The 14,375-nt window shown below is 48.6% G+C and overlaps 2 annotated features.

Moving 5' to 3' along the window:
- Window positions 26-85: a silencer, noted in NCBI's record as "silent region_12737". NCBI's record gives its function as "represses an Ori minimal core promoter by ATAC-STARR-seq in GM12878 lymphoblastoid cells {active_cell/tissue: GM12878}" and the evidence as "EXISTENCE:reporter gene assay evidence [ECO:0000049][PMID:35858748]".
- Window positions 236-305: an enhancer, noted in NCBI's record as "active region_17651". NCBI's record gives its function as "activates an Ori minimal core promoter by ATAC-STARR-seq in GM12878 lymphoblastoid cells {active_cell/tissue: GM12878}" and the evidence as "EXISTENCE:reporter gene assay evidence [ECO:0000049][PMID:35858748]".

Here is a 14,375-nt window from a genome sequence, read left to right as displayed (position 1 = left end):
TCCAGCTTTCCGTAGGCCCCGGCTGGCTTCCCTCTTCAGCTGTGAGACCTTGGCAGCGCCCCCGCCCCCCTCCCCTGTGCCGGGACCTGCCCCAGTCCCTAGCCTGCTCCGCAGCGGCGGTGGGGACCTCAGTCGCCCTGAGCCCTTTCCGGGAAAATGCAATTTGGGGCATGAGACAGGGCCTCTAAACCGCAAGGCCTTCTGCGATTTCAGTTATGAGTCCGTGGGGAAAATCCTGCAAATAAATCTCCCAGGCTTGGCAGGCCCCTCACCCACCCACCGGGCCTCTGGCGTGGAGAATCTCGGCGTTTGGGGGTTGGAGGGTTCCACTTAACTTAGCTGCACGGGTCACTGCAAAGCTTAGTCCTGGAGCCACCATCCCTTCCATCATTCTCAGACCTTCTGAGGCCAGGGATCGGGACCACGTGGTGGGGGCCTGTGGCCACCAGGTCTGGGATGCTAGCTGGGGGATCCGAGGGTGGGGCCTGGCATCATGGAAGGCTCTTCCTTCACATATCTGGAGTGGCGCTGGCTGCTGGCTGGATCTCGGTGGGCTGGGGTGGGAACGCCTCCACGTGGCCTGCCTGGTGGCCACCTGGGCTTCCTCACAGCCTGGTGGCCGGGCTCTGAGCATGAGAGTTCCCTGGAGCAGCAAGTGGAAGTCATCCTTTTTTATGACTTAGCCTCGAAAGTCACCTAGTATCACTTTTGCCAGAATTGCAGACCCGCTCAGATTCAAGAGATGGGAAACCAAGCAGACCCCACCTCTTGGTGGGACAGTGTCAGGTCCTATCACCAGAAAGCAGATGGGAGGGACGTACTGGTGTGGCACCTTTGGAACGTCATCTGCTCAAGTGTGTCCAGAGAGAATTAAAGTCTAAGCCTCCCAGGAGGGCTCTCGGTTCTTCGGAGAAATGCCATTTCCAGCCTCTCTAGCCCTCACCATTCCCCACTTGCTGGCCACTGGCAACTCTCACCCCTGATACTGACCCAGCCACAGAGCTGCTGCTCACCTGTGTCAGCTGCAGCTCCTCCATGCTGAAAAACAAAGCCAACCAAAACTGGAGAACCCAACTGGAATGGTTTTAAACAGTAAAGGGATTTCTGAAACTCCTACCTGGAGAATCTAGCAGTAAGTGAGCTTCATGAACCTGCGCAGGGGCCGCCTGCTTCCCGCAATGCTGGGCACAGCTGGGGCAGTGGAGACTGTGGTCCTGCAGTGCCCGGTGCAGGAGGGGCCGGCCCATTCCAGCTCATGCAGCGATTCTTCTTGGCCCACTTTGGTTCAGTTGCTTTAGAGGTGGGCAGGGATGGAAGGTGGCTCAGTCAGCGTCTTGTGAAAGACTTATGTTCTATCATTGTGGGAGAAAAGTATCTACCCCTCTCTCTGTCCCACTTTCCCTCCCATGGATATGTATGAAGCTGTGTGTAGCCCCTAAGCTGCTGACAGCCTTTTTGGTACACAGGGGCAGCCAGGCTCAGGAGAAGCTGGAAGGGGGAGAATTGTAGAGACTCAGTCATGACAAACCCCTAGATCGAGCCCACCCTGAAACTCACTTACCACTAGATTTTCCAGGTAGGAGTTCCCATAAATCCCCTTACTGTTTAAGATGATTCCAGTTGAGTTTTCCGGTTTTGCTTTCAGCATGGAGGGACTGTAACTGACACAGATGAGAAGCAGCTCTGTGGCTGGGTCAGTATCAGGGGTGCAAGTTGCCAGTGGCCAGATCATCAGGAACGGGGGAGGGTTGGAGAGCCTGGAAATGATATTTACTGGAAGAACTGAGAGCCTTTCCCAGGTGATGGAAGACAGGATTGAAGGTTAGAGCTGATGACAGGGGTTATGCATGGTCAGTTCTGAGCAGGCAAAGGTGGGGTTGGTCCTTGGAGGCAGATGAACCTGCCTTGCTGTGCCCAGCACTGTGGTGTTCACCCAGGGATGACTTTCAGGTCTTGTGTGGCTTCCCTGCTACCTACAGTGGCCAGTAGAAAGACTAAGTTTGAATTTCAGATAAACAACACAAAAATATTTAGCATAAATATGTCCTATATATTGCATAGGATGCGCTTATACTAAAAATCATTCATGATCTGAAATTCAAATTTAACTGAGCATCCTGTGTCTTTATCTGTGAAATCTGTCAGCCTACCTTTCGGTAGCCTGGAGAACTTTATAGAAGGTTGAAGTGGCTGGCTCTTTATGTGGGCTTCTGTCTTGTGGAGTTGGGGAGCTCACAGCTTGGAGCCCTGGGGGGCCAGCCTGACCACCATGGCCAGCCTGTGGGTTCGGGCTTGGTCACCAGCAAGGGAAGCACCTGGTATCGGCAGGACAGCACTCCTATTGCCCTTTGCGCCTTGGCCCCTCATGGCTTGCACGCACGAAGCGCTCTCAGGGGCCCTGATGTCACACTCAGCAGTGTGGGGTCTGCATTCTGGCCCTGGCCAGTGGGCTCATTGGAGAGTTTATCAGGGCTGGCTGCTGGCATTAAGCTCCTACTGGGGGTTTTGAAGGCTGCAGTGGTTTCTCCCTTGAACTCCAGGTGGGAGTCGGGAGATAGCAGATCTGTCTGCAGAGCTCTCGGTGCCTGCCTAAGTGTTGACTGAGGCCCAGGCTGGATCCAAAAGGCTCACCCCTGGAGGGGAGGACAGACATCGCTTAGACAGGGATGAACCTGTCTGCAGAATCTGCAGGGAGCTGGGGATGGAGTTGCTCACTTGACCTGAGGCTGCTTGGTGGACTCGGTGCACCACTCAGGCCCCACAGCAGGACTCAGATGCTCACCCCCCAGCTGCCTCTCTGGAGTTGCCCTTGGCAGAAAAGAGCCACTTACCACAAAGTCACGCCCTTTGTAAGGGCTGCTGTGGCTCATGGCAGGACATCTGTGCAGGCCCATCGCAGCCCGGGTTCCCACCACCCGCGTCTCCCAGGCTCCTGCTCAGAGCGCCTTCTCCTTTGACCACTGGGTGCTCACATGTAACAAGTGGGACACACAGTCTCCGTAGAAGGGGTATTTAAGTTGGATTGTGATGCTGGTGTAAGAGTTTTCTTGGAAGGGAAAGAGGGGTGAAAGCAGAGGGACAGCGTGAGCAGAGGTGTGGCCTGTGGCATGGGGTGCTCCTTGTTAGGGCACTGAGGCAGCTCACTGTGGCTGGAGCAGGGTCTGGGGGGTTCTGCTGCCCATCAGACATCATGTGGTCCCCCATGGGTCTCTGGTCACTTCTTGGAGTTTCCTGACCCCAGAACGGTTTGCTCCAAGGGAAGAAGTTGGTTCTGCAGTCATCAGCAGGGCCACATGTCCAGTGGCTCACCCTGCAGATGGACATGTGACCTGTTTCCTGGCACTGAGAGAACCGAGGGCTGTCTGTGGATCTGGACTCCGTGTCCACCCTAAGACGACCCCACCCTGCCCTGCTGAGAGCACCTCCAGCTACAGCCCTCAGATGGTTTCATAGCCTAGAACTAGTAGCCTCTCCCCCAAGGACGGGACCTGGAAATCTGGGAAAGCCTTGGGAGAGGCCGAGACCTGAGGACAGGGGAGGCGCAGGGCAGGGAGCTGAGGCCTGAGGACGGGTGGGGAAGGAGCAGGGCAGGGAGCTGAGGCCTGAGGATGGGAGGGGAAGGTGCAGGGCAGGGAGCTGCTGGCACTGGGGCCTCAGGGGAACCCTGGGGGCTGGCAATGGCTGAGGGAGGCAGCTCTCTGACCCTCTACCCTCTTCATGTCTTTCTGACCAAAGCTGGGAAAGGTTCCTCACTTTTGAGAACTCACATGATAAGATTTAGGCTCCACCTGGATGATCCAAGCCAATCTCCTGTCTCAAGGCACACAGTCACAGGTTCCAGGGTTAGGAGGGGCATCGCTGGGGGCTGCAGGGCTTATCAGGAAGGAGGAAGAAGCAGCCCCCTGTGCTGCCGGGGAGCTCCGGCCGGACCCGTCTGGCCCTTTGTGTGTGTGTGTGTGTTGGGGGGTAGTGTTCCCAGACCTAACTGAGGGTTGGGCTGCTATTTCTGGCAGCCCATTAACAAGATGCAGATGAACTGGGGAGGAAGAAAGTTTTTATTTCTGTAACCGGGTATAGGGAGAAGGCCTGGAAAATATCACCAGACCAACTCAAAATTACAAAGTTTTCCAGAGCTTATACACCTTCTAAGCTATATGTCTATGTGTAAGTGTGCAATCATCTAAAGACATAAGTGATTAACTTCTTCTAATCTATAACTGAGGTCTGAGTCCTGAAGACCTTCCTTTGTAGCCTCAGTAAATTGACTAAATCTAGCTGGGTCCAGGTGCTGGGGTGATTACCCTTATCTTGTCTCCTGCTAAATCATGGAGGTTTGGGGAGTTCTTTCAGACCCCAGTAAACTTGTTTGTGGAGGACTGGGGAGTTTCTTCAGAACCCCCAGTAAAACTTGTTTAATCCTAAATAGATTCTGTTAAGAATTCTTTTGTTATTTTGTCATGCTTCAAGGCCCAGGAAAGGCCTAGGCAAAACTCTTGGTGGGCTTTTGTTACATTCCAGCCTCTGTATAAGGGGACTGGCTCTCTCGGCTTTTAGTATTTAACTTAACCACTCAGTCAGAGCTGAAACAGTTGTTATGGAGGCCTGTGTTAGTGGGACCTGGCCTGCCACAGTAGGGGGCTGGTAAGGGCTCCGGGGCGTGCCCTGCAGCTCAGACCAGTTACAGCCAGGTAGCCTTCATCCTCATTCCCCAGGTAGCCTTCATCCTCATTCCCAGGTAGCCTTCATCCTCATTCCCAGGTAGCCTTCATCGTCATTCCCCAGGTAGCCTTCATCTTCATTCCCCAGGTAGCCTTCATCCTCATTCCCCAGGTAGCCTTCATCCTCATTCCCCAGGTAGCCTTCATCGTCATTCCCCAGGTAGCCTTCATCCTCATTCCCCAGGTAGCCTTCATCCTCATTCCCCAGGGAGGATCTTGTGCTAAGTCCCCCAGAACAGACCCTGAGACACAGGTTGCAGCACAGGCAGTGCCTCTGGGCGGGCACCCCAGAGAGAGATGAAATATACTAATAGGTGACCGCCAGAGCACGCAGGACGGGAGAACTCGGACCCGTAGCCTGTAGCACCAGCCCAGGAAGCCAGACCACTACTGCCCACAGGCTTGGCCAGTAACTGCCAGTTTCCCTCATCCTTCTTCAACTGAGGATCAGCCAGAGAAGAAAGCCAGACATGCTCCGCTGACCAGTCACAGGGGCTACCCCACTTCTAGCAGCCCTTCCTGCTTGCCCAATAGCCACCCTCACTGGGGCACCTCTGAAGCCCCCTCTTTCCTCTATGAGGCTTTCCCACCCCTGCCTGCATGCAGGTCCCGCCTGGTGGTGCTGCCTCCCACTGCTGCATGCCTTGAGCCCCTAGGCTCCTTTGGATGGTCTTTGTCTGTTTCTGTGCCAGGGCACATGGCGGGAGGGCAGGCTATGGGCCGGGCAGGGTCATGAGCCATCTGAACAGGGAGGGCTAAGGCAGCTGTGGCCATGGACACTGGGGCTCAGGCTCCCTGGGAGCCTCATGCTGGCCACAGGAGGGGAGGTGGCTGCTAAGCTCAAGGTGGAGGGCAGCAGCCCTGGACTGTGCCTCCCGCATGCAAGAGCAGGCAGAGATGGTGCTGGCGGTGGCCCCTGGGTCAGCGGGTTGGAGCCCAGAGAGGCACTGGGGTGTGGGTGGGGTCCCTGGGGCTTTCTGGCTCTTCCAGTGCTGCTCATCAGAACAGCCAGCAAACCTGGGAACACGCAGCCAATGTTCCTCAAGGACCCCTCATTCTTCTCCATGAAAAACTCCATAAAATATTTGAATAAATTTATTCTGTGCCACATATAAGGACCAAGGGCCCATGACACAGCCCCAGGAGATCCCCAGGGTGATCGGGCTGCAGCTTGTTTTTGAGTTTTAGGGAGACATAAGACATCAATCAATACATGGAAGGTGTACATTGGTTCAGTCCAGAAAGGCAGGGCAACTCAAAGAGGAGGAGGCTTCCAGGTCATAGGTGGATCGGCAACTGGCTGAAAGAGTTATTATCCAAAGACCTGGAATCAATAGAAGGGAATGTATGGGTTAAGATGGGGGATTGTGGAGAGCAGGATTTATCACGCAGATGAAGCCTCCAGGTAGCGGCTTCAGAGCTCTTATCAGACCTGAACGGGTGCCAGGCCCTTAGTTAATTCTCTCCTGGATCATGGAAGAGACCTGGAAAGGAAGGGGATTCTCTACAGAATGTGGATTCTCCCCACAAGAGACAGCTTTGCAGGGACATTTCAAAACATGTCAAAAAAAGATATTTTAGTGTAAAATACTTCGGTTTCTTTCAGGGCCTGCTGCCTGTCATGTGGGGCTATACTAGAGTTAGGTTGGAATTTGGTGTCTCATTGCTACAGGGTCTTGCCCTATTTTGATGTCAATGCTGGTCAGCTGTGCCTGGATTCAAATGAGAGGAGGAAATAATGAGGTCTGTCCGGCCCCCACCTTCCCATCATGGCCAGAATTAGATGTTCAGGTTTATGTTGGAATGTCCTTGGCTGAGAGGAGGGGTCCAGCAGTCGGTTAGGGGACTCAGAATTTTATTTCTGGTTTCATTCTGTAGATCAGAGTGTGGAGCCCAGGAATGAGCATTTCACAGGCTCCCATGCACCCAGGTAGAACCTTGTGCATGGTGTCTCCACGGGGTTCACAGGCAGGCTACCCAGCTGAGGCTCCTGCCCCGCCTCACTCACTTTCTCTCCAGGACCTCCCTCCTGTTTCTCCCAGCATGAGTGCTGATGTAAATTTATGGAGATGGCGTTTCTGCCTCAATCCCCTTCTGCTCTGATGACCCATTATGACTGTGTAATTAAGCTCCCGTGGATCTTCCCCGCAGGCATCTGTAGCTCCCGGGTGTCACTCATCTGCCCAGTGCTGACATGGAACTGAGGATAAATGTATTTCACCGGCTTTTGTTCTATCATTAACTTCTGTAGCTCTTGTGTAAATTTCCAGGTTGCAATTTCTGCATTGGTCTTTATTGAGCAAACCCCCCTTTGTGTGGATGAGTTTAGGGTTGATTTCCCCTCTTCTCTCGCCCTTGACCCATCCTTGGTGACCGTGGTTAGTCTCCAGGGGGCTCTGCCCTAGGTGTGTTCAGCTGGCTTAGATTTGCAGATTATTCCATGTGGTTGGTGTTGGTGTCAGTTACCACCTGATGTGGGAGAACCGCGATCCGGGATTGGAAGGGATCTCACTCAGTTCTTCATTTGATTTCTTCCTGCAACATTTTATTATAAAGGTTTTTAAACTTTTCCAGGAAAGCTGGATGAATTGTTCAGTGAACACTCACATGCCCACACGCTAGATTTCACAGTGAACTCTTTCTTCATTTATCCTGTATCTATCCATTTATCCATGCATGAATTTGATTATTGTTTTGGCACTTTTCAAAGTAAACTGCACTACAGTGAATGTTAAATTCCCAGGACCCCCCCGTCCCAATGCCTGCTTGATCTCTGTTCAAGAGATGGAGAGCACAGGGCTGGGCCCATGCCCAGGTCTTCTTATGCAGGGGACTCTCCAGCTTCTCTCACCAGCTCCCAGGGGAGGCTGGTGCTGCCCACCCAGGGCCCCACCTGGAGAATTGCTGGTCTAAGCTTACACAGTTTCCTGGGGAATCAATTGTCCCTAAAAAAGCCAGAAGGTCTAGAGTGGTAGCCAGAGTCCTGGGCGTCCTGCCTGAGGATGCCTGTCTTACTCTCGAGGCAGCCATACCAGCCCCTCTGCAGGTGGCCTCAGGCACTCTGGCTGCCAGCCAGGGGCAGGTGCCTCCCTGGAGCAGGTTGCTTGCATTTGGTGCATGGCTCCCTCTCAGGTGGGGTCTTCTCAGGGGCTGGCCAGGCCATAGAGTACCCTCTGTGACTCTCTCCATTCCCACGTGTCACTAGCTCTGCTGAGCACCTGGGGCTGGGGTCCTGGCCAAGTCCCCAGAGAGTGGTGTCACCATTAGAACTGGATGAACCCTGGCACCCAGCAACCCATCTTTGCCCAATTTATTTCCTCACTGTCCAAAGCTAAAATGTTGTATTAAAAGACAAATGCGTGCCTGGACAGTACTTTTACCTCTTTATGCAGGCTGGGGAATGCTGAATTTCACCCTCTGCTCTTGCAAATTAAGTAATTAAGGAAAGAGTGAACCTGTGATAATTGTAGGTGCTTATTGTTACTGATGAAGATGTCCAGGCAGGGATGAGTGTGGATTTCATTAATTTCTCCATGCTTTGGGGTTTGGCTTGAACTCAAAGGCCTTCCTTGAGTGAACTCTTATAAAATCTTTAATTAACTCTTGCCGGTGTCAATATGTTTTATTACCTTCTGCAGCCCACAGCCTCCCCTGGTGTCCAATTTACTTCGATGCTCCTGGGCTGCCAGGACGGAGGCTGGTGCTATGCTCTGCCATGGGGTGGATTAAGTTGCTTTATGTGTTCTGGCTAGAGGGCAATTCCTCTCCATCAGAAATGATGATGGTCACTTTTCTACGGGGGGGCACCCAAGGTTGCAGTGAGAACTTACTGCATCAGAAACAAAAGGGCTGAACTTGGAAACAAGACCTTGGCCATCAAAGGCATGCATAGACGTGGCCTGTGAAGACTCATGCTCGGGTCCAGACCATCGCTTGTAAGTGGTGGGGTGCGGATCAGGGATGTTGCCCTACAGAAGTGAGGCAAGGGGCTCACCCCAGGCCCCATGTGGGCACATCACTGCTGACCCCTGAAGTTTACTGGGCTGGGGTCCACAGCTGGCCAGCCCCCCTGGGGAAGGAGCAGGAATTAAGCTTTTCCATTTTGTGTCTCGGGGCTGTCAAGGGGATCGGATGTCAGCAGTGTGTGGCTCCTCCTGGGGTTACCTGCCCATTGCATCCCCGCCCACAGAACCAGGAGGGCTGGGAGGCAGCCAGCCCCAACCAGGGAGGGACAGGGTCAGTGGGTGAACACTGCCTGCCTATGGGGGGCCCCCGAGGGGCACCTTCCACAGTGTCAGAACTCCCAGCGGGATGGGTGAGACAGTGGCTGAGCTGTGGGCAATAGTGAGCCCCTTTCCGGGCCTTGCCACCCACCCTTGTCCTGTTGCCTGGAGTAGTCCTCCCAGTAAACTGCCCACAGCAAGCCCTTTCTCCCAGTATGCTTTGGGGAAGCCCAATAAAGACAAAGATGTCAGAGGTGAGGTGATGTGGGGAAAGGTCAGAGCATGGACGGCGGTCTGAGGAGGAGGCCGTGGAGAAAATGGGAAGAAATAATGAGAATTTCATTTGAAATACACATTTGTACACATCATTCCCCAAACCCAGGTCATAAACTCCAGCACCCTGGAGCCAGGAGGTCCCTGGCAGGTAGTCACTGCCCTGAGGCACAAGACTGAGGTCTTTCATGGCTGAGGGGTTGAGTTCTGTTGGGTGGAGGTGCCTCAGCCTGCCTTGAATTCCCTGTGACACCAAATCCAAATAAATCCAATGTTGATCTTTGAGGCTGGTGTCTTAGTCTGTTTTCTGTAGCTATAACTGGACACCAGAGACTGGGTAATTTGTATAAAAAAAGAAATTTATTTAGCTAATGGTTTTGGAGGCTGGGAAGTCCAAGGGCATGGCAGTAGCTTCTGGCATGAGCAGACAGCATCACAGGGCCGGAGGAGCATCACAGTGCATCACAGGGATGCACTGAGAGCCAAATCAGTTTTTCTAGAGAACCCACCCTGGTGATGACTAACCCACTCCCTCAATAACCTATTAATCCATTAATCAATCAAGGAGTGGATTAGTCTATTCCTGAGAGCAGGACCCTTGGAACTCAGTCACCTCCCAAGGTTCTACCTCTCAGCACTATTGCTTTGGGAACCAAGTTCCAACACATTTCTTAAGTTACTGAATTTTAAATTTTATTTAAATTCAATGAATTTCTGTTTCAATTTCTTTTTAATTTATTTCCAACTTTTATTTTAGGTTCAGGAGTACATGTGCAGGATGTCCAGGTTTGTTACATAGGTAAGCACGTGTCACGGTGATTTGCTGCACAGATCATCCCATCACCTAGGCATTAAGCCCAGCATCCATTAGCTATTATTCCTGAGGCTCTCCCTCCTCCCACCTCCCACCCCTCCAACAGGGCCCAGTGTGTGTTTTTTCCCCTATGTGTCCATGTGTTCTCATTGGTCAGCCCCCACTTATAAGTGAGAACATGCAGTATTTGGTTTTCTGTTCCTGCATTAGTATGCTGGGGACGATGGCCTCCAACTCCATCCATGTTCCTGCAAAGGACATGATCTCATCCCTTTTTACGGCTGCATAATAGTCTATAGTGCATATATACCACATTTTCTTTATCCAGTCTATCATTGATGGGCATTTAGGTTGATTCCATGTCTTTGCTATTGTGAATAGTGCTGCAATGAACATATGCATGCATGTGCCTTAATAACAGAATGATTTACATTCCTTTGGATATATAACTAATAATGGGATTGCTGGGTCAAATGATATTTCTGCTCTCTAGGTCTTTGAGGAATCACCACACTGTCTTTCACAATGGCTGAACTAATTTACACTCCCACCAACAGTGTAAAAACATTCCTTTTTCTCCACAACCTTGCCAGCATCTGTGGTTTTTTGACTTAATAGTAGCCATTCTGACTGGTATGAGATGGTATCTCATTGTAGTTTTGATTTGCATTTCTCTAACAATCAGTGATGTTGAGCTTTTTTATCATGTGTTGGTTGGCTGCATGTATGTCTTCTTTTGAGAAGCCAACAGTTGAACTTTTGGGACACCCATTCAAACCAGAACAGCTGGCAAATTTGTTTTGATTGAGGTAATATTTATCTACAGTGAAACATAAGATCTGAGATTCCATGAGCTTTGATACATATATACACTTGGGTAACCCACATCCCAATTGAATTAGTGAATCTGTCACACAGAATCTCCCTGGTGCCCCCAGCAGTCAGTCCACCCTGCTTCCTAGGCAACTGTTATTCCAATTCCATCACCTAGGTCAGCCTCGCTTGTTCTTACTCTGTGTAAGTGGAATCGTATAGTTCACTCTCTGCTGTATCACACTTCATTTGTGTAATGTAATGTTTTTTGAGGTTGAACATGCTGTGTGTGTTAGTCATTCACTCATTTTTATTGACCAGTAGTATTACATTTTATAAACAGACCACATTTTATCTGTTAACTTGTTGATGTATGTTATCTTTTATCTAGTGTTTGGCTATTATGAAGAATGCTGCCATATCTGCCATTGCACAATAAACTGTGTGGACATATATTTTCATTTCTCTTTTGGGGGAATTGTTGAGTCATTGGGTAGGTGTGTGTTTAGTTTTATAAGAAACTGCCGGACCATTTTCTAAAGTGGCTACACCATTTTGTATTCTCACCAGCAATGAATGAGAGAGTTCCTGTTGCTCCACTTCCTCATCAGCACTTGATGCTATCTGTCTTTAATTTTAGCCACTTTGGTGGATGTGGAACAGCATCTCATTGTGGTTTTAATTTGCATTTCCCTGATAACAAATGATGCTGAGCATACTTTCATGTGCTTATTGGACATCAATATACTTTATTTTGTAAAACATATTTTCATGTTTTTTTACCCATTTTAAAATTGGATTGTTTGTCTTTTTATTGATTTGTGTTTCTTTATATATGCTAGATATTGGTCCCTTATCAGATATACACATCATAAAAATTTTCCCCAGTCTGTGGTTTGTCTTTTTTTCTCTAAATATAGTCTTTTCATGAGCAGAATTTTGATGTGTGCTTTCTACTTTCTACAACTTCATCTACTTTTGACTGAGATGCAGTTAGACCTTTTTTTTAATTATTTTTTTTTTATTAAAGTTTTAGGGTACATGTGCACATTGTGCAGGTTAGTTACATATGTATACATGTGCCATGCTGATGCGCTGCACCCACCAACTCGTCATCTAGCATTAGGTATATCTCCCAATGCTGTCCCTCCCCCCTCCCCCCATCCCACAACAGTCCCCAGAGTGTGGTATTCCCCTTCCTGTGTCCATGTGATTTCATTGTTCAATTCCCACCTATGAGTGAGAATTCGCAGTGTTTGTTTTTTTGTTCTTGCGATAGTTTACTGAGAATGATGACTTCCAATTTCATCCATGTCCCTACAAAGGACATGAACTCATCCTTTTTTATGGCTGCATAGTATTCCATGGTGTATATGTGCCACATTTTCTTAATCCAGTCTATCATTGTTGGACATTTGGGTTGGTTCCAAGTCTTTGCTATTGTGAATAATGCCACAATAAACATACGTGTGCATGTGTCTTTATAGCAGCATGATTTATAGTCCTTTGGGTATATACCCAGTAATGGGATGGCTGGGTCAAATGGTACTTCCAGTTCTAGATCCCTGAGGAATTGCCACACTGACTTCCACAATGGTTGAACTAGTTTACAGTCCCACCAACAGTGTAAAAGTGTTCCTATTTCTCCACATCCTCTCCAGCACCTGTTGTTTCCTGACTTTTTAATGATTGCCATTGTAACTGGTGTGAGATGGTATCTCATTGTGGTTTTGATTTGCATTTCTCTGATGGCCAGTGATGATGAGCATTTTTTCAGGTGTTTTTTGGCTGCATAAATGTCTTCTTTTGAGAAGGGTCTGTTCATGTCCTTCGCCCACTTTTTGATGGGGTTGTTTGTTTTTTTCTTGTAAATTTGTTTGAGTTCATTGTAGATTCTGGATATTAGACCTTTGTCAGATGAGTAGGTTGCGAAAATTTTCTCCCATTTTGTAGGTTGCCTATTCACTCTGATGGTAGTTTCTTTTGCTGTGCAGAAGCTCTTTAGTTTAATTAGATCCCATTTGTCAATTTTGTCTTTTGTTGCCATTGCTTTTGGTGTTTTAGACATGAAGTCCTTGCCCATGCCTATGTCCTGAATGGTAAAGCCTAGGTTTTCTTCTAGGGTTTTTATGGTTTTAGGTCTAACGTTTAAGTCTTCAATCCATCTTGAACTGATTTTTGTATAAGGTGTAAGGAAGGGATCCAGTTTCAGCTTTCTACATATGGCTAGCCAGTTTTCCCAAAACCATTTATTAAATAGGGAATCGTTTCCCCATTGCTTGTTTTTCTCAGGTTTGTCAAAGATCAGATAGTTGTAGATATGCGGCATTATTTCTGAGGGCTCTGTTCTGTTCCATTGATCTATATCTCTGTTTTGGTACCAGTACCATGCTGTTTTGGTTACTGTAGCCTTGTAGCATAGTTTGAAGTCAGGTAGTGTGATGCCTCCAGCTTTGTTCTTTTGGCTTAGGATTGACTTGGCGATGCAGGCTCTTTTTTGGTTCCATATGAACTTTAAAGTCGTTTTTTCCAATTCTGTGAAGAAAGGCTTTGGTATCTTGATGGGGATGGCATTGAATCTGTAAATTACCTTGGGCAGTATGGCCATTTTCATGATATTGATTCTTCGTACCCATGAGCATAGAATGTTCTTCCATTTGTTTGTATCCTCTTTTATTTCCTTGAGCAGTGGTTTGTAGTTCTCCTTGAAGAGGTCCTTCACATCTCTTGTAAATTGGATTCCTAGGTATTTTATTCTCTTTGAAGCAATTGTGAATGGGAGTTCACTCATGATTTGGCTCTCTGTTTGTCTGTTATTGGTGTATAATAATGCTTGTGATTTTTGCACATTGATTTTGTATCCTGAGACTTTGCTGAAGTTGCTTATCAGCTTAAGGAGATTTTCGGCTGAGACAATGGGGTTTTCTAGATAAAGAATCATGTCGTCTGCAAACAGGGACAATTTGACTTCCTCTTTTCCTAATTGAATACCCTTTATTTCCTTCTCCTGCCTAATTGCCCTGGCCAGAACTTCCAACACTATGTTGAATAGGAGTGGTGAGAGAGGGCATCCCTCTCTTGTGCCAGTTTTCAAAGGGAATGCTTCCAGTTTTTGCCCATTCAGTATGATATTGGCTGTGGGTTTGTCATAGATAGCTCTTTTTATTTTGAAATATGTCCCATCAATACCTAATTTATTGAGAGTTTTTAGAATGAAGAGTTGTTGAATTTTGTCAAAGGCCTTTTCTGCATCTATTGAGATAATCATGTAGTTTTTGTCTTTGGCTCTGTTTATATGCTGGGTTACATTTATTGATTTGCGTATATTGAAGCAGCCTTGCATCCCAGGGATGAAGCCCACTTGATCATGGTGGATAAGCTTTTTGATGTGCTGCTGGATTCGTTTTGCCAGTATTTTATTGAGGATTTTTGCATCAATGTTCATCAAGGATATTGGTCTAAAATTATCTTTTTTGGTTGTGTCTCTGCCCGGCTTTGGTGTCAGAATGATGCTGGCATCATAAAAAGAGTTAG

The sequence above is a fragment of the Homo sapiens genome, chromosome 20, assembly GCF_000001405.40.
Source record: "Homo sapiens chromosome 20, GRCh38.p14 Primary Assembly".
NCBI lineage: Eukaryota > Metazoa > Chordata > Mammalia > Primates > Hominidae > Homo > Homo sapiens.
This window is presented reverse-complemented; position numbering and strand designations above follow the sequence as displayed.